Below are 20,482 nucleotides of genomic sequence, written 5' to 3'. Positions count from 1 at the left end.
AACGGCTATATTTAACTTTGCTCCATGGCTGGGCACAAAGTCAGGGTCATTGATCCTTAGGAGAAGGTACCAGTTTTATAACATCTAAATTGCATAGTTTCTTCTTTCTGAGTCACATCCACCAACCTAGAATGTAAAACAGGGGTCGAACCAGTAGCGCGCACATACACACACACACACACACACACACACGCAAGTACAAATACACTCTTGTCCCTTCTATAAAAACTCAATGCAAGGCCAAGCACGAATGCCAGGAATGGCATGTCTGTTTCCTCTGTGCTGGGCGCGCCATTGTTGTGTGTCTATCTGCTGCCTTCTGAAATCAGTGCCAATGTTGTACAAAATACACCGGCATAAAAATGGTTTTTATTTACAACACTGTTGCCTTTTTTGTTAGAAGGATGTAGTGGACTCCTGCTAAAGCAGAAGGAAATCTGTCAATGCAGACCTTATCAGAAGCCAGGATCCGGAAGGAGGCGATGACCTGCTCGGCAGTGTCGGTGTCAGCCGTCTCTCTAGTCATGAAGTCGATGAAGGATTGGAAGGTGACGGTGCCTTGCCCGTTGGGATCTACCAGGGTCATAATGCGGGCAAATTCGGCTTCACCCTGGGGCAAAGTGGCAAAGAAACATGTACACGAACGGTACACAACTCTCAACAGAGCCGTTTTCATTCTTTCCCTGGTGACATGCCAATTCCTTTATGTCTGAAAACTGAATTATTACCTGCGTTTCCCTTCAGTCTTTGGACAAGATTCCCCTTAAGGGTGACTAAGGTTTACTGCTACCAAACAATTTTAAAAGTTGCTGGAGCTTCAAACCAGAAGCTTGTAAATGTCAGAAGTCTTTCCTCTCTGGGACCCACTGCTGGCCTTGATGGGTCACGTGACGTAATTATGGAAGAGGAGGTCAAAGCGGGAGCTGAGCCCTTTCCTCAGATTACAACTAGGAAAGCGATGCTGCCAAACTGAAGGCAGCTCAGAACATGGCTGTCACGACTGTAGTTTACAGTCCCAAAGAGAATCAAGGGAGGCCAGGTTAAAAATACTCATTAATGGGTAACAGAGAAGTGTCTGATATACTAGGACTATCCCAGCCCACAGGGAAATGTAAGTTTATCTTGGCTGATTTACGACTAAACCTTTTTTACCTTTCAGCATATTAGAGGAAAAAGCACTTGAAAAATCATTAGGTTCCTACTAAAAGCCACTGAAGTATACACTTTAAATGGGTAAACCGTAGTACGTGAGTTATATCTCAGTAAAGCTGTTTAAAACAATCAAAAAGCCTATGTTCTCATCTCCTTCACTAGAAAAAATAATCTGACCAATTATTGAATAAAAATAAATGCTTTGGTTCTGTGACTTTTTTTTTTTTTGATGGAGTTTCACTCTTGTCATCTAGGCTGGAGTGCAGTGGTGCAATCTCAGCTCACTGCAACCTCCGCCTCCCAGGTTCAAGCCATTCTCCTGCCTCAACCTCCCAAGTAGCTGGGACTACAGGTGCCCGCCACCACAGCTGGCTAATTTTTGGATTTTTAGTAGAGAAGAGGTTTCACCATATTGGTTAGGCTGGTCTCAAACCCCTGACCTCAGGTGATCCATCCGCCTCGGCCTCCCAAAGTGCTGGGATTACAGGCGTGAGCCACTGCGCCAGGCCTCGTGACTTTATTTTTATATAATAACAGTGAGACCTTCAAAAAATATTATCCTATATAATGAAAACGAACCAATCCCAAATGCACTACCTTGGTTTGAGCTTGTCATCTTTTATAACAGAAATCCAAATTCAATAAAATATCAAATCTTAGTACAATTTCAACTTCTGTCTTACCAGGTCATAACCCATGGAAATCAGGCAGGCTCTGAAATCCTCATGATCCATCAGGCCATTCTTCCTCTGTTGGCAAAAACAAAGGACAGAGCAGGTGAGCACAGGGCAAGATGAGCAACTCTACTTGACCAACTGAACAAAGATCTGGTAAGAGAAGCACTTTGAGCTCTGCCAAGGTCGTAAATGTCACCACTGACTTGCGAGAAGGATGGAGCCAGCACAAGGATGTTACAAACTAGTTTCTTAAAAATGAAAAAGAGGGGAGAGGAGGGTAAAGACCAGACAAAAACGAAAGGAGACCACACACTCAAGAAAACAGCAAAAGGAACTAGTCAGGAGCTCACTACTGCCACCTACTGACAAAGAATCATTCATGTTTAATTTGAACAAACTTCTAAACATGGTAAGTTCTGCATTGTACTCCTTGGACTTTTGTTGCAAAAGATTGTGATCATCTTGGATTCAAATCAATGTGCTTTCTTCCTATAAAGTAGCCCCAATGAGTGAGAGTGTCTTTCAACAAGAGATGGTTGTGTACAGGGATGACGATCCATCATTTCCCTCCTTGGAAGAAAAATGACTTGGGCTTTAATGAATGCAGATACGTCAAATCACAGCATGCTGCTGCACAATAAAGGTGTGCTGAAGCTATAAGAACGTCAATATCCATCTCTGTGGATAATTTTTTACTTATGCCTAGCTCTCTGATCAGAAGTCCACTGTCTGAATCCTCCAAAAGGCCCAAATCTGACTGGTCTATCTAGCCCAGAGGCATTTTAGGAACGACTGATGGACATTTGCAAATCATAACAGGGCTCCATGCAAAGTAATGGTACATCCCTTTTAGTGATCTTTAAGAATTGGAACGTAGCTAGTCGTGGTGGCTCACGCCTGTAAGCTCAGCACTTTGGGAGGCTGAGGCAGATGGATCACCTGAGGTCAGGAGTTCAAGACCAGCCTGGCCAACATAGTAAAACCCTGTTTCTAGTAAAAATACAAAAAATTAGCCAGGCATGGTGGCATATGCCTGTAATCCCAGCTACTTGGGAGGCTGAGGCAGGATAATCGCTTGAACCTGGGAGGTGGAGGTTGCAGGGAGCTGAGATCACACCATTGCACTCCAGCCTGGGCACCAAAAGCACAACTCCATCTCAAAAACAGAACAAAACAAAACAAAACAAAACAAAACAAAAAGAAAAAAGGCCAGGTGCGGTGGCTCACACTTGTAATCCTAGCACTTTGGGAGGCCAAGGTGGGTGGATCATGAGATCAGGATATTGAGACCATCCTGCCTAACATGGCGAAACCCCGTCTCTACTGAAAAAAAAAAAAAAAAATTAGCCAGGCATGGTGGCAGGTGCCTATAGTCCCAGATACTAGGGAGGCTGAGGCAGGAGAATTGCTTGAGCCCGGGAGGCGGAGGTTGCAGTGAGCCGAGATCATGCCACTGCACTCCAGCCTGGTGACAGAGCGAGACTCCGTCTCATTAAAAAAAAAAAAGAAAAGAATTGGAGTGTGCCTTAATAGTCACTCACTTCCAGCCACAGGATTAGTAAATAGTATTTTCTCATAAAGAATTGGTTCTACTCAATATTATTCAAATCAGAATACTAGATGATATTTTTAAAGCAGCACTTAGCTTTTTATATGCTTTTACTACAAAAATTATCACCATTTTATTGCTGCATGTCCTTAAAAGAGATCATGCATCAATTTTGTTAATTAAAACAGAAAACTGAGTTTTATATGTTGAAAGAATGGGTTAAATTATGACCAGATGCTTTTCCTAAACAGTTGCTTAGGAAAAGCATATCAGAGTTTTGTATTTAAGTCTTTACGAAATGACCTAAAGCCAACAATCACATTTTGTGAAGAATACACTTTGACTTAGAACAAATCAGCTTTGATGTCAACTACAAATGCATTCTATTAAGTGATCTGTATGAAACAGCACACAAACCTGGACTTTGTGTCACCTTGAGCAACATCAAAGCTTAGGACACTTAGTTTTGGTGGCTATTTTCTTTTGTCATTAACTATCCTGTTTCCCTGTAAATGTTGTGGAGCCTTAAGACTTAAAACGAGAGCATGCATATTATTTCAGATACATTGTTTAATGTCCCCAGTATTGCCCTTCAAATAAGTAGAGAGTGGTACCCTGTCAAAGTGGTTGAAGGAGGCTCTGAACTCATTCATCTGCTCCTGGGTGATGCCCTTCGCATCTCTCGTCAGGATCTGAGTCTCCACCTCATTGATGGTTCTGGCGATGGTTGTCAGCAGCAGCTCCCATCCAACACGAATGTGCTATTGAGGGAAAAGGGGAAAGATCAGTTCTAAGTCTCTCCAGCATGTCAACTCTGCCTCTTTACTTTCATAACAGTACAGCCGACTCAAAGGGCTTACTAAGCAGGGCTCATGATAGCCTTCCCCACACTTGAAAAAAAATTCTACTTTGTCATCTGTTGCAAGATTCTGTAGTGAGAAGTACTCACAAGCACCCACCAGGGTTCTAACAGTGGCAGCGGGCACTCTGCAGTATATACTCTATAACCAGGGTTCTAACGGTGGCAGCGGGCACTCTGCAGTATATACTCTATTACCAGGGTTCTAACAGTGGCAGCGGGCACTCTGTAGTATATACTCTATAACCAGGGTTCTAACGGTGGCAGCGGGCCCTCTGCAGTATATACTCTATTACCAGGGTTCTAACAGTGGCAGCAGGCACTCTGCAGTATATACTCTATTACCAGGGTTCTAACAGTGGCAGCGGGCACTCTGTAGTATATACTCTATAACCAGGGTTCTAACAGTGGCAGCGGGCCCTCTGCAGTATATACTCTATTACCAGGGTTCTAACAGTGGCAGCGGGCACTCTGCAGTATATACTCTATTACCAGGGTTCTAACGGTGGCAGCGGGCACTCTGCAGTATATACTCTATAACCAGGGTTCTAACGGTGGCAGCGGGCACTCTGCAGTATATACTCTATAACCAGGGTTCTAACAGTGGCAGCGGGCCCTCTGCAGTATATACTCTATTACCAGGGTTCTAACAGTGGCAGCGGGCCCTCTGCAGTATATACTCTATTACCAGGGTTCTAACGGTGGCAGCGGGCACTCTGCAGTATATACTCTATAACCAGGGTTCTAACGGTGGCAGCGGGCACTCTGCAGTATATACTCTATTACCAGGGTTCTAACGGTGGCAGCGGGCACTCTGCAGTATATACTCTATTACCAGGGTTCTAACGGTGGCAGCGGGCACTCTGCAGTATATACTCTATTACCAGGGTTCTAACGGTGGCAGCGGGCACTCTGCAGTATATACTCTATTACCAGGGTTCTAATGGTGGCAGCGGGCACTCTGCAGTACATACTCTATAACCAGGGTTCTAACGGTGGCAGCGGGCACTCTGCAGTATATACTCTATAACCAGGGTTCTAACAGTGGCAGCGGGCACTCTGCAGTATATACTCTATTACCAGGGTTCTAACAGTGGCAGCGGGCACTCTGCAGTATATACTCTATTACCAGGGTTCTAACAGTGGCAGCGGGCACTCTGCAGTATATACTCTATTACCAGGGTTCTAACAGTGGCAGCGGGCACTCTGCAGTATATACTCTATAACCACGGTTCTAACAGTGGCAGCGGGCACTCTGCAGTATATACTCTATTACCAGGGTTCTAACAGTGGCAGCGGGCACTCTGCAGTATATACTCTATTACCAGGGTTCTAACGGTGGCAGCGGGCCCTCTGCAGTATATACTCTATTACCAGGGTTCTAACAGTGGCAGCGGGCCCTCTGCAGTATATACTCTATTACCAGGGTTCTAACGGTGGCAGCGGGCCCTCTGCAGTATATACTCTATTACCAGGGTTCTAACAGTGGCAGCGGGCACTCTGCAGTATATACTCTATAACCACGGTTCTAACAGTGGCAGCGGGCACTCTGCAGTATATACTCTATTACCAGGGTTCTAACAGTGGCAGCGGGCACTCTGCAGTATATACTCTATTACCAGGGTTCTAACAGTGGCAGCGGGCACTCTGCAGTATATACTCTATAACCAGGGTTCTAACAGTGGCAGCGGGCCCTCTGCAGTATATACTCTATTACCAGGGTTCTAACGGTGGCAGTGGGCACTCTGCAGTATATTATCAGGATTCTAACAGTGGCAGCGGGCACTCTGCAGTATATACTCTTGTTTGTCACTAAAAATATTTTCCCATTTACCAAGTAGCAGGATGAGCCCTGAGTTATACCTGCTGGCTCCCAGGGAGATCAATTTGGGCCTAACTGGCAGAAATGCAACAGTCCAGTTTCTGGCACTCACCTTGAAGAAGTGTAGTGAATTTATGGTGGTGATAATAATAATGATAATGTCACTGTTGGTAATACCATATAGTCCTCGATATAGCTCACGAAGCATTTCCACAAATAGTGACTGGAAAGGCTTAAAGATCCCTAACTTTCATACTTGTAGGTCTTAACAGGAACAAAGAAAGACAAGTGCATGAAGAAAGCACCCTGAGGAGGTGGCATGGTCCCCGTGAGAAGTGAGCGGCACACGCCTGTCTGGCTGCCGTACCTCCATCGTGTAGTTCGTGTGCTTGTTGTCAAAGACAAGGGCCTCCTGGATGAGCTGATGGTCTCCCTCCAGCTTGTCGATGTTGTTCTTATAGTTGATGATGTTGTGCTCATACTGCTTCAGCTGGTTCATCTGGTCTTCCAGGGCTCCTGTGATCTGGATGGAGCTCCGGGCAATCTCCTGAGGGGGGCGAGTGAGCAAGCAGAGAGAGAAGCAGAGTGAAGTGCCCTCTAAGGGAGCTCGGCACGAGGCGCCGTTCCAGACCCTGCATGGGATGCTAGGCCAGCGTCAGGCAGCGGCCAGTGTCACTCGGTTCACTTTTCTCAGAGGAAGTGGGGACTGGGTAGCATCGCAGAACAAAACAAGGTCTAGTTCTAGTCTGTCTAGAAAATGAGGAAAAAGTCAACCAAGATCCAAAACAGAGAGGCAAGAGGGGTCAGAGATAAGTCCTTCAGCTTCTTGCTGTGGGAAGGAAACGCCCTCGGGCAGAGCTACCCTGCTCTGGAGGAGGCTGGGGGTGGGCTGCCTGGGTGGAGCTGCCAGACAGATTGAAGACCCACGGGATGCTTCCTCCATCAGAATTTCTTATATTTTTACATGGTCTCCGCTTTAAGAAAAAAGTCAATATTTCAACACCAAAAGGGTGGTGGGACAAGAAATAAGTGGGTCAATAAATGTCTCCTGGCTGTTCTTGGTGATCAAAGGACAACAGGGTTACTTAAAGACCACTGTCCCTGAAATGTTCTGAAAATGCAAAGTATTTGTGGGCCTTCACGTGTCCTCCTTGTAGGGATAGATGGTTTGAAATCCAGGCCCTGCAGAGGCCAAAAACGGAGAAAGCCCTGTCACCATTTTTAGTGAGAAAATAAACAGAACCCAGCAAGACCCCCCTCCCCTTCCTTGAGTGCCGCCTTCCTGCATTCCATATTGTGCTCTGGTTTGCACACTGTCCCCAACAGCCAGGGGCTGAAAGATAAAGCCGGGGTGATAACAGAACGGTGCTCCCACCTGACTGAGTGGGTGGCTGGAAACCACAGCATGTGCGGTGTCACTGCTGCGTGGCTAAAGGGACTTATCGCAAGGCTTGTGAACAGCGCCTGGGAGGGCGCTGGCTTACCTCCATCTTGTTCTGGATCCAGGGCCCAATGGCATTGGCTTGGGCAGCAAACTGGCGCCTCAGACGCTCGTTAGCATGCTGGCGAGCCAGCTCCTCCTGCAGGGATTGATCGCGGATGGGCACGAGTTGCTTCACCTGTCAGGGCCCAAGGACAACAAGGGTTAGAGGCCAGCTGTGGTCTCATAGGAACAACCACAGAATGCGGGAATAGTCCAAGGGGTGGGGGTGGGAGTGGAGAAGGAGAAACGAAGGGAGGAGGGTGTAGGGGGAAGGAAGAGGGAGGATAGGGAGGAGGAGTCCCTAGTCTAGGGACTACAGGATGAGCTTGATTTAGCTTTGACTGCCATCTAGTGCCACCAAGTGCCTGCTGAAAGACAGGATGAGCTGGAGGGTATTTAAGAGCCTGCATTAGGAGCAGCGACCATTCTCCTCCAGCCAGAGGCTCTAGGCCTGCTGCACAACTAAGTCAGGGCCAGGTCCAGAGTACAGAGGATTTGTGAACTTGGATGCAGGGAACACTGGCGTGTTTATTTTCACCATCTCGGATTAAAATGTAGCACTCCCTTTGTTTATGAATGACGTGGACAGCAAATCTGCAGCAGTATTTAGTAGTCCCTGTGACCTTATCACAGCATAAATCATAGACATTCCATACTAACGTTACGGTTATGCCTGCCTCTTGCAACAAATATCACGTACACTCAGCCCTACTCCAAAATTATTGGACCTGCTGTTAGTTCTTGGTTTTAAACGTGTTAGTAAAGAAGCATATACATGACAATAACTTTAAAGATATTTGAATAACTACATTTCAATATAATTTGTTTCCTTGGTAATATTAAATATTTTTATAAGTTTACAAACATTATTATCAGAAGGAATCCACAGGCTTCCCCAGACTGCCAGACGGGTTCATGACACCAAAATGTGAAGAGCCCATGCTGGGTTCATGAGTTCGATTCTTATACCTTGTTGGCCCACAGAAGAGTATACACCTGTCTACCTGCTTTCTGTTCCATTTGTGAGTTACATTTTAATGCTATGCCTCCATTCTCTTTCAATCAATGGAAGAGAAAAAACTACTTCAAAAATCTTTCTTTGTGTCATCTGCAAAACTGCTACTAAAAGCATTATTATTGTCTTTTTGTTTTCTTTAACAAAAATCCATTTGCTTTATAACTTACTGATGGGAGAAAAGTTTGTCTCACTTTAAAAAATGATATATTTCTGCCCAGGCGTGACGGCTCACACCTGTAATCCCAGCACTTTGGGAGGCTGAGGTGGGTGGATCACCTGACGTCAGGAGTTTGAGACCAGCCTGGCCAACATAGTGAAACCTCATCTCTATCAAAAATATAAAAAATTAGCCAGGCGTGGTGGCGGGCACCTGTAATCCCAGCTATTAGGGAGGCTGAGACAGGAAAATCACTTGAACCCACGAGGAAGAGGTTGCAATGAGCCGAGATTTTGCCTCTGCACTCTAGCCTGGGCAACAGAGTGAGACTCTGTCTCAAAAAAATAAACATAATAAAAACGAAAAATAAAAAATGATATATTTCCTCCCCCCGCCCCCACCCCCGCAAGAAAACTACTTAAATCAGTTTGTTTCCTGTCTCTCTTTGGGTGTTCGTTAGGAAGACCAGAGCTAAATTTAAAGCTCAGATGCACTAATTAACTACTGTTTCTCGGATAAATACTTTCCTTTTCCTCATACCTGTTTTTGTCTTTTGCGCTGTTTATAACTAACTTGCAGCACGTGTGTTTTTATAGTAAAAGCCACTTCAGACCCACGTGGTGGACTTATTCCTCAAAGACTATGATTGGCATACTGAGATGACTAATTGTGCTATAATTTCAACCATGAAAAGAAATGTCCCAATCTTAAAAATCAGACAAAAGGGCTCAAATTATCCCATTTGGACCATAATTACATTTGTCGATAGTTGCCCCAAATTTAAAAGGCTGCAAGTTAGTAAGAATACTTTCATTCCCAAGATGTCGTTTTCTAAGCAATTTTTCTGCATTTAAAATTCATACACATCTGGGACATGTCTATATCATATTCTAAAAATTCTTTTAAAAAGTACTGTAAGTACTTGTAACCAAGTTTTTAACCAAATTTCCAGTTGGGGCTTTAAAAACCATTTCCTTTATGGTATTAGGATCATAACCTACAGTGGTTGTGTCAACATTTATAAGATTTTCCTTAAGTAAAATAATCTCTGCTTTCTTTCCCCACAAACTGCAGACGCTGCTGAAGGGTCCTTAAGAGTTTGTCACGTTTTGCCTGTGAAATTTGGGATAAAGGAAAATCCTGATCATGATGCAAAATGAGGCCGTCACCCTAAGTCCCCGAGGCGTTAACTTCCTCCTTCGACGTCAGCTTCAAGAATGCCCCCTGGTCCCACACCAGGCCCTCAGCCACCCACCTTGTCCCACTTGGTCCGGAGCTCATCCATGGTGACAGTGCTGTACGGGTTGCTTGAGCTGATTCTGATGTTGTAGCTCTGAATCACCTTCTCCACCTCGTTCTGGATGGCCATGATGGACTGCCGCTCTCCGTCCGCCTCGGGCAGCGTGGCCTTGAACTGCTCATGCGCAGTGATCAGACTCTACACCCGAGACACAAGTGGAGAAAAACAATGTGGCTTGAGTGTTAATTTCAAAGGCTTTGATATTCCTTTCCGCACACAAGTAAATGCCTTGATGATTGCAAGAGTCTCTGGAGAAAAACACATTCTGAATGCTTTAGAAAAAACTCTTTAGGTACACAGAAGTCAAGTTCCTGGAAAATGGAAAAAGGATGTCATGATGACTATTAATAATATTGGTGGCTATTCATGTAGAGTCTTTTAAAAAATAATTTTTTTTAATCAGTTTTCCTTTCACTGATTTTGATCACCAGCTATTGTTTAGGTCTTTCTTATTTTCTGCTGACGAGCAGAACTTAACTTAGCGGCACTTCCTTTTTTTTTTTTTTTTTTTTTTTTTTGAGACAGGGTCTCGCTAGGTCACTCAGGCTGGAGTGCAGTGGTGCAATCATGGCTCACTGCAGCCTTGAACACTTGGGCTCAAGTAATCCTCCTGCCTCAGTCTCCTGAGTAGCTGGGACTATAGGGCATACATCATGATGCCTGGCTAATTTTTTTATCTTTTGCAGAGACAGGGTCTCATTATGTTGCCCAGGTTGGTCTCAAACTCCTGGCCTCAAGTGATCCTCCCCGCCTGGCCTCCCAAAGTGTTGGGATTACAGGTATGAGCCACCATGCTCAGCCCTTAGATGCCCTTTCTAATGGCCAGTGTTACCTTTGCAGTCCTACAAAAGCATCTAACATTTGCTACCATTATATCTAAAGAAAACCAGGAAGTACATCCCTATTCCTCAAAAAGAAAAGGTCACAGAAACCAACTCTTCCCAGAAGGCTCTCTAAAGAGCCATTTATCAAACCTATTCTTTGACCTGAACATGAGCAGCCCCACAAATTCAGCGGCTCAAAGACCTCACTGCCTCGTGGAGCACCTTTGAGTGTGAAGCTACTGTTCTCTTTAGGTGCAGCAACAGGTCAGCTGCCAACAGAGCTTTGACAAAGAGTGTGACTTCCAAGGCGTGCTTAGAGGTCTCACTTATTCCAAAAATAAACGATTTTAGACTGTTGGCCTGTGCTTAAGAGTGCACGCAGGAAACACCATCGGAGCCTCTTTCAAAAGGCAACTCCAATGTTCATGGAAGCACTTTCTTTCCCCTGGCGTGCAGGTGCAAACCCTTCTAGACGGCTCCTGGTAGGGAGGTGTGGTTTCAAATCCCAACCTTCAGGATTTCCTTTCTACTTGGATTCTTTTTGATGACATATCTATTTTACAGAAAAAAAAGAGTAAAAAGTATTTTCTCTTTTTATTCTATTATACATCAAATTCACTGTACAAATTCTCTAAATAAATTATGTCCTGGCTAACCGAGATTAACTTTCCTCCCTAACGTCACCACTTAGAAGCTTTGTTTATAGTTCTGAAGTTCCAGAAAAAACTATAAGCAGAACATTTTAGATTGGCAGTAGGCAAAAGGTAGGTGCTGATTTGTGGCTTCTTATGGTTTACAATCTGGCAAAAAACTCTGTAGATCTAAATAAACAGTAATATGCACACGTTTGCAAAGTAGTTAACTCAGCAGCTAGTACACTTACAACTTTTTCATGAATAACTCCAAGAGCACATATGTTTATTTTGCTCAATGATGCAGCAGTTGTTGTAGTTGTAGTTGTCGTTGTTGTTGTTGTTGTTGTTGAGACAGGGTCTCACTCTGTTACCCAGGATGGAGTCCAATGGCGTGATCTTGGCTCACTGCAACCTCTGCCTCCCAGGCTCAAGCGATCCTCCCACCTCAGCCTTCCCAGTAGCTGGGACTCCAGGCGTGCACCACCACACCCAGCTAATTTTTTTTTGTATTTTTTGTAGAGACGGGGTTTTGCCACATTGGCCAGGCTGGTCTCGAACACCTGAGCTCAAGCAATCCACCCGCCTCAGCCTCCCCAAGTGCTGGAATTATAAGCATGAACCACTGCGCCCAGCCTCAGCATTCTTTTTTAAAGAACAGAGCTTCTGAGACACATTCACCATTACTTGATTGATTTTAACGGGTTTGCAACACAGAGTACTAAACACATTTTTAAGCTAAGGTTCAAGGGTAATTTGGGCTTTCTAGCCACATTTGTTAATTTTTTTTTAAAGCAAGAAAACAAGAAACCAAATAACAGGACTCTTAAGTTTAAATGACAACTCACTTCTAATGCATAGGGCATACAGAGTTGCGGTTCCATTACCTGGATCTCCTCAATGCTGTGGACAATGAACATATCTTGCAGATCCTCCATAGCGCCCTCCATCCAATTGTTGAAAGGAGCAGCCCTCTTGGCAAACTCCAGGTGAAGCTGATCAATGGTTTCTAGCAATTTCTCCATTCTCTAAAGAATAAAGAGAAGCAAGCATTATCATAGACTAATTAAAAAATTCACTGAAAGTGTAAGTAGGCGTTCCATAAGAACAGACTATTCTCTGATATTCTGTTAATCGTATTAGCATGTGTCTACAAAAGATTACCCGATGCTCAAACAATTAGGCTGAGCCCTGCAGGTCTCTGAGGTGCCTTCTGAATCAAAGAAGGATTTCATAACATCCAGAGCAGCCTCATTTTTAAAGTGTCTAAAGTACTTCACTACATGCTACTTTTCTGAAAACTGAGACTCCACATACGGCATACTGTAACTTGCTTTCAGCTAAAGCAGGACTTTATAAGAGGACCTGATTCCCTAACTGTGCCAGATTAACAGAAAATGCAGGGCATCTTCCACGTTTTAGAGTCAACATGTGCAGAGAAGTTGTGTGCCTTTCCCAAAGTCACCTACCTAATGGAGAGAGAAGGAACTGCAGGTTCATGCTCTCAAATCCTCATTCAGGATTTAACACAGATCACCTCTTGCCTTTCTGGGCATATGAAAGCACAAGATTTCAAGCAACAGGATGATCCTGCGCTTGTTTCCCATGGCAGACAAGTGGGGGCAGAAGGGGAAGGCATCTCCGTAGCTTTAAGCCTTCCATAATTAGGTTCATTTTTCCCTCCTGTTCTAAAATGTTTTGTGCTGTCTCTGTTACATGTCTGGTCTTTCTCTTGACATCTCTTTCTTTAAGCAGATATGTCACAGCCATTTGGCATTTGGGAAGCTTGATATTGGGTTATCTCAAAAGTATCATCAGAGTCAAGCAGAAAAGACTCAGGGAACTGGTAAACTGCTGGTTTCTCTCACGTGGGAGATGTCTTCCATGGTTAAAGACAATTAGGGGCAGTTAAACACAAGATACCCACTGTGTCTTACACTTAGTCTTACACTTAAATAAGGCCAAATTCGTCCCAATTCTGTTTCCTATCAATGTACTCACTTCAACACTTGGTTCCATCTTCCCTTTGCACATCTCTGATTTCCCGACTCACTCACAGCTCAATTTACTCAGGTAGAAGGACTTTTGGAAACGTACTGTTACTACCAGATACAAAGTAGATTTATGCCGTAATCTCATCACCCCTGGATTTTTTAAAATTGAAAAATATACTTCGCTGCTGTCTGGATAAATTACAGCACAAAGCTCCCAACTTCCCATTTCCCTCTTTCTTCCACTTTTCATGTTTTCTTTAGAGGTTCCTTTCACTAGGCAACCTGTTTCATGCCACAGAGAAACACACAATGAATACCAGTGATTTAATTAAAGAGCTTCTATTAAAAGATTTCATGTCAACAAGTGGCTTCAATACTTCACCTCTAGGGCTTCTCTCCTCTTCTGAGTAAGCGTTCCCAGTCGGTCCCACTGGTCACAAATTTTCTGGCACCGATCATTGACATTCACAGCGTCGTGATAGTCCAGTTCACTATTAAAAGTGAAAATAAATAAAGATTAACTTTCCCAGATGATGAGAGAAAATGAACATGGGCTAAAAAAGAAAAATAACAGGGAAGTTTAAAAACAAAAACATCTGAAATGTATCCACATGGACATAGAGAGTGGGCTGATAGACAGTGGAGGCTCAGAAGGGTGAGGGGGTGGAAGGGTAGGTGGATGATGAAAAATTACTTAGTGTGATTTCATACAATGTATGTTATTTGGGTGATGTCTACCCTAAAAACCCTGACTTGGCCACATGTAGCAAAACTGCACTTGTGCCCCACCCCACCTACATTTATACACATAAAAGAAATAAAAAATAAAAATCTGATAGAGAACTGGGATGGTATTTCAGGGTTTTGTTAACTGTCATCACTGTAAACATCACTCCTCTCAGATAAATCACAAGAAGAATTCATAAAACTTTCGCTGGCCAACAGATTTCTAAACAGAGAGAACCGTTGTCTTCTTAATGCCGCAGGCTCAATTTATTTCCCCTTCCTTTTCTTGGAGAGGCCCCCAGAGAGCATTATTTCTAAGTGGCAATGTCCCTATGAGTGAAGGTCGGAAGACATCACTCTCTGACCTGGAGGACAGTCCTGTGGGCCAGGATGCAGCCACAGTGACTGGGGAGGGAAGAGTCAGCCTGCGCCACATTGTGTCCTTGGCTTCCCTAGAAGGGCACTTGGCCTCACCACTGGGTAGAGTATCAGGTCCAGAATGGCACCATGACTTTATCTAACATAGCGGGATTTCTGAAATGGGGCCGAACTGAGCCCTTCCACTTAGAGACAGAAAGGTTCTGACTCATCTAATGCCACTAGAGTGACAAGCAAGGGCAAAATGATTTCTCACTAAATCCTTACTTTTCCTTGCCAGATCCATCTATGCATTCTACCTGGGGTCTTTCTGTGCACACCACTGAAGCAATTTTTTTTTTTTTTTTGAGACAGGGTCTTGCTTTGTCATCCAAGCTGGAGTGCAGTGGGGGTGATCATACGTTATTACAGCCTCAGACTCTTAGGCTCAAGTGATCCTCCTGTCTTAGGCTCCCAAGTAGCTGGGACTACAGGCATGTGCCACTACACCCGGCTCTTTTCAAAAATTTTTTAGAGATGGAGTCTTGCTGTGTTGCCAGGCTGGTCTCGAACTCCTGGTCTCAAGCAGTCCTACCTCCTCAGCCTCCCAAAGTACAAGGATTACAGGTATAAGCCACTGCACCCAACCTAAAGCAAATTCTTAACTAGAAGCTTAACCCAGTACCTCCAGGGATAACAAGTTTGAATCCTGTACAAAACTTAATCACCTTTTTCATTCAGATATAAATCAAGAACCATGGAAGTTTAAAGACATCTTCAGGAGGCTGCTTCAAAAACAGTCCAGGATTAGACAACTTTGAAAAGTCCCCTCCTACCCTACCAAATCCATTTTCTTAAAGCTTAAGTTCGTTTTCTTTTTTTTTTTCTTTCTTTTTTTTTTTTTTTTTTGAGATGGAGTCTTGCTCTGTCGCCCAGGCTGGAGTGCAGTGGCCTGATCTCGGCTCACTGCAAGTTCCGCCTCCCGGGTTCACACCATTCTCCTGCCTCAGCCTCCTGAGTAGTTGGGACTACAGGTGCCCGCCACCATGCCTGGCTAATTTTTTTTTGTATTTTTAGTAGATACGGGGTTTCACCGTGTTAGCCAGGATGGTCTTGATCTCCTGACCTCGTGATCAGCCCACCTCAGCCTCCCAAAGTGCTGGGGTTACAGGCGTGAGCCACTGTGCCCAGCCAGAACGTGGCAGTTTTAAAACGTAATATATTGAAATAAATTTTTATTATTTAATTTTTGAAGTTACCATTATGTGACAGGCTCTAAACATTCTACAGATGTATCAGTGATTATAATGGTGGGGAAAGGAGTAGGAAATAAAATGTTGTCTTTATTACAAGGGAAAAGGACCTGAAGAAAGCTCAGAAACACGGCATGGAGGCTCTTCTCCCTGAGGGCAGCCGCACCCCAGGGCTCACACTACACAGAGCGGGAACTGAGAACATTCACTCCGTGCCAAATCCAGCCTAGGCTCAAATGTCGTGTCAGTTCTTCCCATAAAACCAAACGCATGAAAGTGAAACAGCACTTAGGGGATGATAAAGCAAAGTGGGGTCCTGACGTCTCTTCTGCACACGTGAGGCAGTGCCCACTTTTTTGTTTTATTTTGTTTTGTTTTTTGTTTTTTTGAGACGGAGTCCCGCTCTGTCGCCCAGGCTGGAGTGCAGTGGCGCGATCTCGGCTCACTGCAAGCTCCGCCTCCTGGGTTCACACCATTCTCCTGCCTCAGCCTCCCGAGCAGCTGGGACTACAGGCACCCGCCACCAGGCCCGGCTAATTTTTTGCATTTTTAGTAGAGACGGGGTTTCACCGTGTTAGCCAGGATGGTCTCGATCTCCTGACCTCATGATTCGCCCGCCTCAGCCTCCCAAAGTGCTGGGATTACAGGCGTGAGCCACCGCGCCCGGCCAGTGCCCTCTGTTTTGCTTGGTTTTATGTTGATTTCAGGACAGGCTATATTCTGCTTCTTGCACCTGGCCTGGGTGAGGCCGCCTTCCCATAGCTTTCTGGGCCCCAATATTCCAGACTTATTTCTCATCTTGCTGGAAGCGGAGCTGCCTGTGCTGAGGGCCGGGGTGCTGCTGGATGGTAGGACATAGGGATTCTACCACAATCTAAGAACCAAAATCTGTTTCTACATTTAAAGAAACAAGGAGAATCCCTGCACAGAGTGCCTCCAGCGTGGTTCCCTCTGCGTTTAGTCAGGAAAGGCAAGGCAGGCCTTTCTCTCCCCTCTCTGTGGAATCCCAGGGGCTCCCGGGAGGACGGAGGGCATCTGCACATACTTGAGCTCCTGCGCGATGGCTGCGATCTGCTCCACGCGGTCCTGGTGCGCTGCCAGGTCGCTCTCGAACGCCTCGTGCTTCCGCAGCAGAGCCCGCACCTCTGTCAGCGACGCCGACTCGTAATCCTTCTGCAGCAAGATCTGCTCTTTGCCTGCAAAGGTGGTAGCAAGAAAGTATGAATATGCTGAGGGCACAGCGGCTTCCTCATGCCAGCCACATTCTCAGGGAGCGGTGAGATTCCAAAGAACCAAGAGAAGGGGACAGAGAGGGGCAGGACTGAAGATGCAGGCCAGGGTTGTGATGGAATTCAGGCTGTTACCTGCTGAGGATGCCCCAGCCCCTTCTCAGTTTTGAAAGCTCGTGTCTCCAAATAAAGGGGAAAGGAGAGCATGCTGAGTGCGTTTTTAGAAAAAAACCAATTTGTAGTCTTCATCATTCTAAGTCACAAGTATCTGATTCCTGCATGATCCTCAGTTAAGTTACTAATTATTCACTCCCAAGAGCTACCAGGGATGCTTAGATAAAACCCCGGTGCTCCATTTGTCTATCCATGAGTCCTACCCCACCCTAGTTCCTTTTGTTTGAAAGCTATACTCTGTGTGCTTAAATGGAGCCTGTGCTTTGTTTTTCCTGATAATAAATATTAGAAATTTTCCTCTCTGACCCTCCACTTACATTTTCCCATATAAATATTTCTTAAATCCAGTAACTGCTGTGGTCACGAGTGGATCCACATTTATCCCCTGGCTAATGACCTTTAAGAATTCTATGAAATTGGAAGTGGAAAGCAAATGTTCATGTATTTAATGATGACGATGTACCACTTACTGTGTACTAGACGCTACTCTAAATGCTTTCTAAATACGAACTCATTAAATCTTCATAGAAACCCTATGAGGGAGGTCTTACGGTGATTCCCATTTCGAAGAGGACACTGAAGCCCTGCTAGATTAAGAATTCATCCGGGGCACACAGCTGCTATGCATCAGAACTGTGCCTCCAACCCACCTGGCTCCAGCTTCCTTGCTTGTAACTACCTGTCTATGAAATATTAAAAATCAAGCAACAATAAAAGCAAAAACCATAGAATGAGGAAAAATCTCCCCAATCTCAAAACAGATTATTATGTGATGGGGAAAATGCTTTATTCTTCTGCCTTGGCAAGAAGGACTATTTAGTCCAGGAGACAGCTAAAAAAAAAAAAAAAGGGCCATATTCTTATGTCTATGGAAACCGGCATGTGTGTAAGGCCTGAAAAAAGTAGATGAATGCAAGTGAAATAAGAAAGTTAGATTATACATGATATCTTGCATCCTCCCTCCCAGATTTTCTACATAGGATATTATGTTGCTCTGTGGCATTTAATATATATTCTACTGGCAGAGGCTAGTGGTTGGCCCAGGGCTATCTGACTACCAGTTAGGGAATGAGTGGATACTTGTGGAATCAAACAGAAAACATGGAAGGAGGCCAGGCCTTATGTAGGTAGGTATGTAAAGAACACATTTTGGGTGCCATTTTGGGAAGAAATAGATTACCTGCGTGATTAGAAACTAAATTTTCATGCCTACCTCTTAAATAAATTTGGCACTGAGACAAGAGCAGAGAAAGGTGACGACACCTACCTTTAGTGTCACAGACATTAGGCACAGAGTTAGTAAGGATGCATCATGGCTCTGGGCATGGCTCAACTCTGGTTTTTCAAAAATCCAATCTGACTCCTGTCTACTTACCATAAGCCCAAGTCTCGTGCGTTGAGGCCTTCTGCCTGAACTTCTCAGCCAGGTGTTCCAAGCGCTCCAGTCTCCGAATCTCATTGAGCAACCACTCCTCGTAACCCTTCTCAGCCTGCTCCAGCCTCTGCCAGGCACCAGCAATATCCTGGGATGGTTGGAAGCCAAGGGAAGCAAATGTGTAACAAGCACCTTCGTTACATTCTGGCCTCTCAGGCTTCTTCTATAAATCCCTCCACTACATTTTGATGGTGTTTTCCTTTTGTTTTCTTTTCCTTCCTTACCCCCCACCTCAATAACCATTCAATTATTTGGCTTCCAAATGTCTTAATTACAATTCACTGGGATCTTTTAAGACTAACATAGTTGTTATCAGCGATCCTGACACTTCTCCAGATGTGGACAAAGATGTAGAGGGCTGACAATTTCTGGCTACAAGAAGATAAAGCCTCAAGATGACTCAGTTCAAAACAACCCTTTTATTATGATTATTGTTTTGTTTTTTTTTAAAGAAATGGAGTCTCGCTATGTTGCTGTTCTCTAACTCTTGGGCTCTGGCAATCCTCCCACCTCGGCCTCCCCTGTAGCCGGGATTACAGGCATGTGCCACCACACCTGGCTTCCAAAACAACTCTTATTCAGTGACTGGGGTGAATTGTTCAGCCAGCCAGCCATCAACAACTAATTACTGGGCATCTAGCATGTACCAGGCACTAGTGAGAAACTCTGTAAGGGTAAACAACACCTCTAAAGTTCCCATGCAGCTTCCATGGTGGTTGGGGGAGAGAGACAGTCATTAAGTACTTAAGCAAGTTCATTTCGGAAAGCGATAAACAAAATGCCGTATGGGAAAAAAAAAGCAGGGTCAAGGGATACTGCCAGCCCTGCCCGTCAGGGTGGTCCCTGTGGCAGGTTACTTACAGAAGACCCCTCCGAGGAGGGGGCATTTGAGCTGAGTCCTCAATGACAGAAAAAGACAGTGATGTGAGGAAGTAGGAAACGAGGGCTCCTGGGCAAGGGGAAAAAACTCGAACGCCCAAGAGGGGATGTGCTGTGCGTGCGGGAAGGACGGCAGGCAGGGGGTGTGGCAGCGGTGGAGTGCCTCAGGGCAGAGGGAGAGATGCGTTTGGCAAGCATGCAGGCCCTTATAGGCCAGGATAATGAAAATGGATTTTACTCTCAATACTTTGGGGAGTCACTGGAGGGTTTTGAGAAGAAAGGAGATGAGATCTGATTCACATTTTTAAAAGACGACAGAGGCTGATGTAGGCGGGATGAATTTTAAGGGGCAAAAGAAAAAGAAGAACCGGTCAGCAGTTACTTGCAGGGTCCAAGGAGAGAGAATGGTGGCTTAGGATAGGCCAGTGGCCGTGGAGGTAAAGAGAAGGGGATTAAGAGCATTTACTTACGATGTATTCTGGAAGAAGAGCCAATGGGACTGGCTGAAGAACTGGATGTAAGAAAGTGACAGAAAGGGAAGAATCAAGGATGAAACCTGGGTTTGGGGGTTGGCAACTTAGAGGACAGTGATAGAATTTACTAGGATCGAGGAAACCGGGAGGAACTCTTTTGGATATGTTCAGTTTAATATGCTATAATATATCCAGGTGGATATACTGGCCTGGAATTTGGGGAAAAGTCAGAGCTGGAAATGTAAAATTTGAGAGGTATTGGCATTTAGGTGGCAATTAAAACCATGGGCCCGCCCAGGCATGCTCGCTCATGCCTATAATCCCAGCACTTTGGGAGGCTGAGGTGGGAGGATCGCTTGAGCCCAGGAGTTTGGGCCGCCCCTGGCAACACAGCAAGACCCCATCTCTGCAAAGAAATAATTAGCCAGGCATGGTGGGATGTGCGTGTAGTCCCAGCTACTCAGGATGTTGAGGTGGGAGGATCACTTG

The 20,482-nt window shown here is 44.9% G+C and overlaps 1 protein-coding gene across 3 annotated transcripts in view; it reads right to left on the bottom strand.

Annotated features, from left to right (window-relative positions):
• Positions 1-20,482, bottom strand: part of ACTN2 (actinin alpha 2) — a 78,133-nt gene that overhangs the window by 3,007 nt on the left and 54,644 nt on the right. For all 3 annotated transcript variants that reach the window (NR_184402.1, NM_001278343.2, NM_001103.4), the window contains 10 exons: positions 18,582-18,729; positions 16,849-16,999; positions 13,850-13,958; positions 12,361-12,501; positions 9,973-10,155; positions 7,544-7,678; positions 6,427-6,606; positions 3,993-4,139; positions 1,836-1,901; positions 452-610 (listed from right to left, as the gene is read on the bottom strand). Coding sequence is in view for 2 of the 3 variants with exons in the window: in NM_001278343.2 (NP_001265272.1) it covers positions 452-610; positions 1,836-1,901; positions 3,993-4,139; positions 6,427-6,606; positions 7,544-7,678; positions 9,973-10,155; positions 12,361-12,501; positions 13,850-13,958; positions 16,849-16,999; positions 18,582-18,729 (1,419 nt within the window). In the remaining variant the exon portion in view is untranslated. The remainder of the gene's footprint in view (positions 1-451; positions 611-1,835; positions 1,902-3,992; positions 4,140-6,426; positions 6,607-7,543; positions 7,679-9,972; positions 10,156-12,360; positions 12,502-13,849; positions 13,959-16,848; positions 17,000-18,581; positions 18,730-20,482) is intronic.

This window comes from Homo sapiens, chromosome 1 (genome assembly GCF_000001405.40).
Source record: "Homo sapiens chromosome 1, GRCh38.p14 Primary Assembly".
NCBI lineage: Eukaryota > Metazoa > Chordata > Mammalia > Primates > Hominidae > Homo > Homo sapiens.
This window is presented reverse-complemented; position numbering and strand designations above follow the sequence as displayed.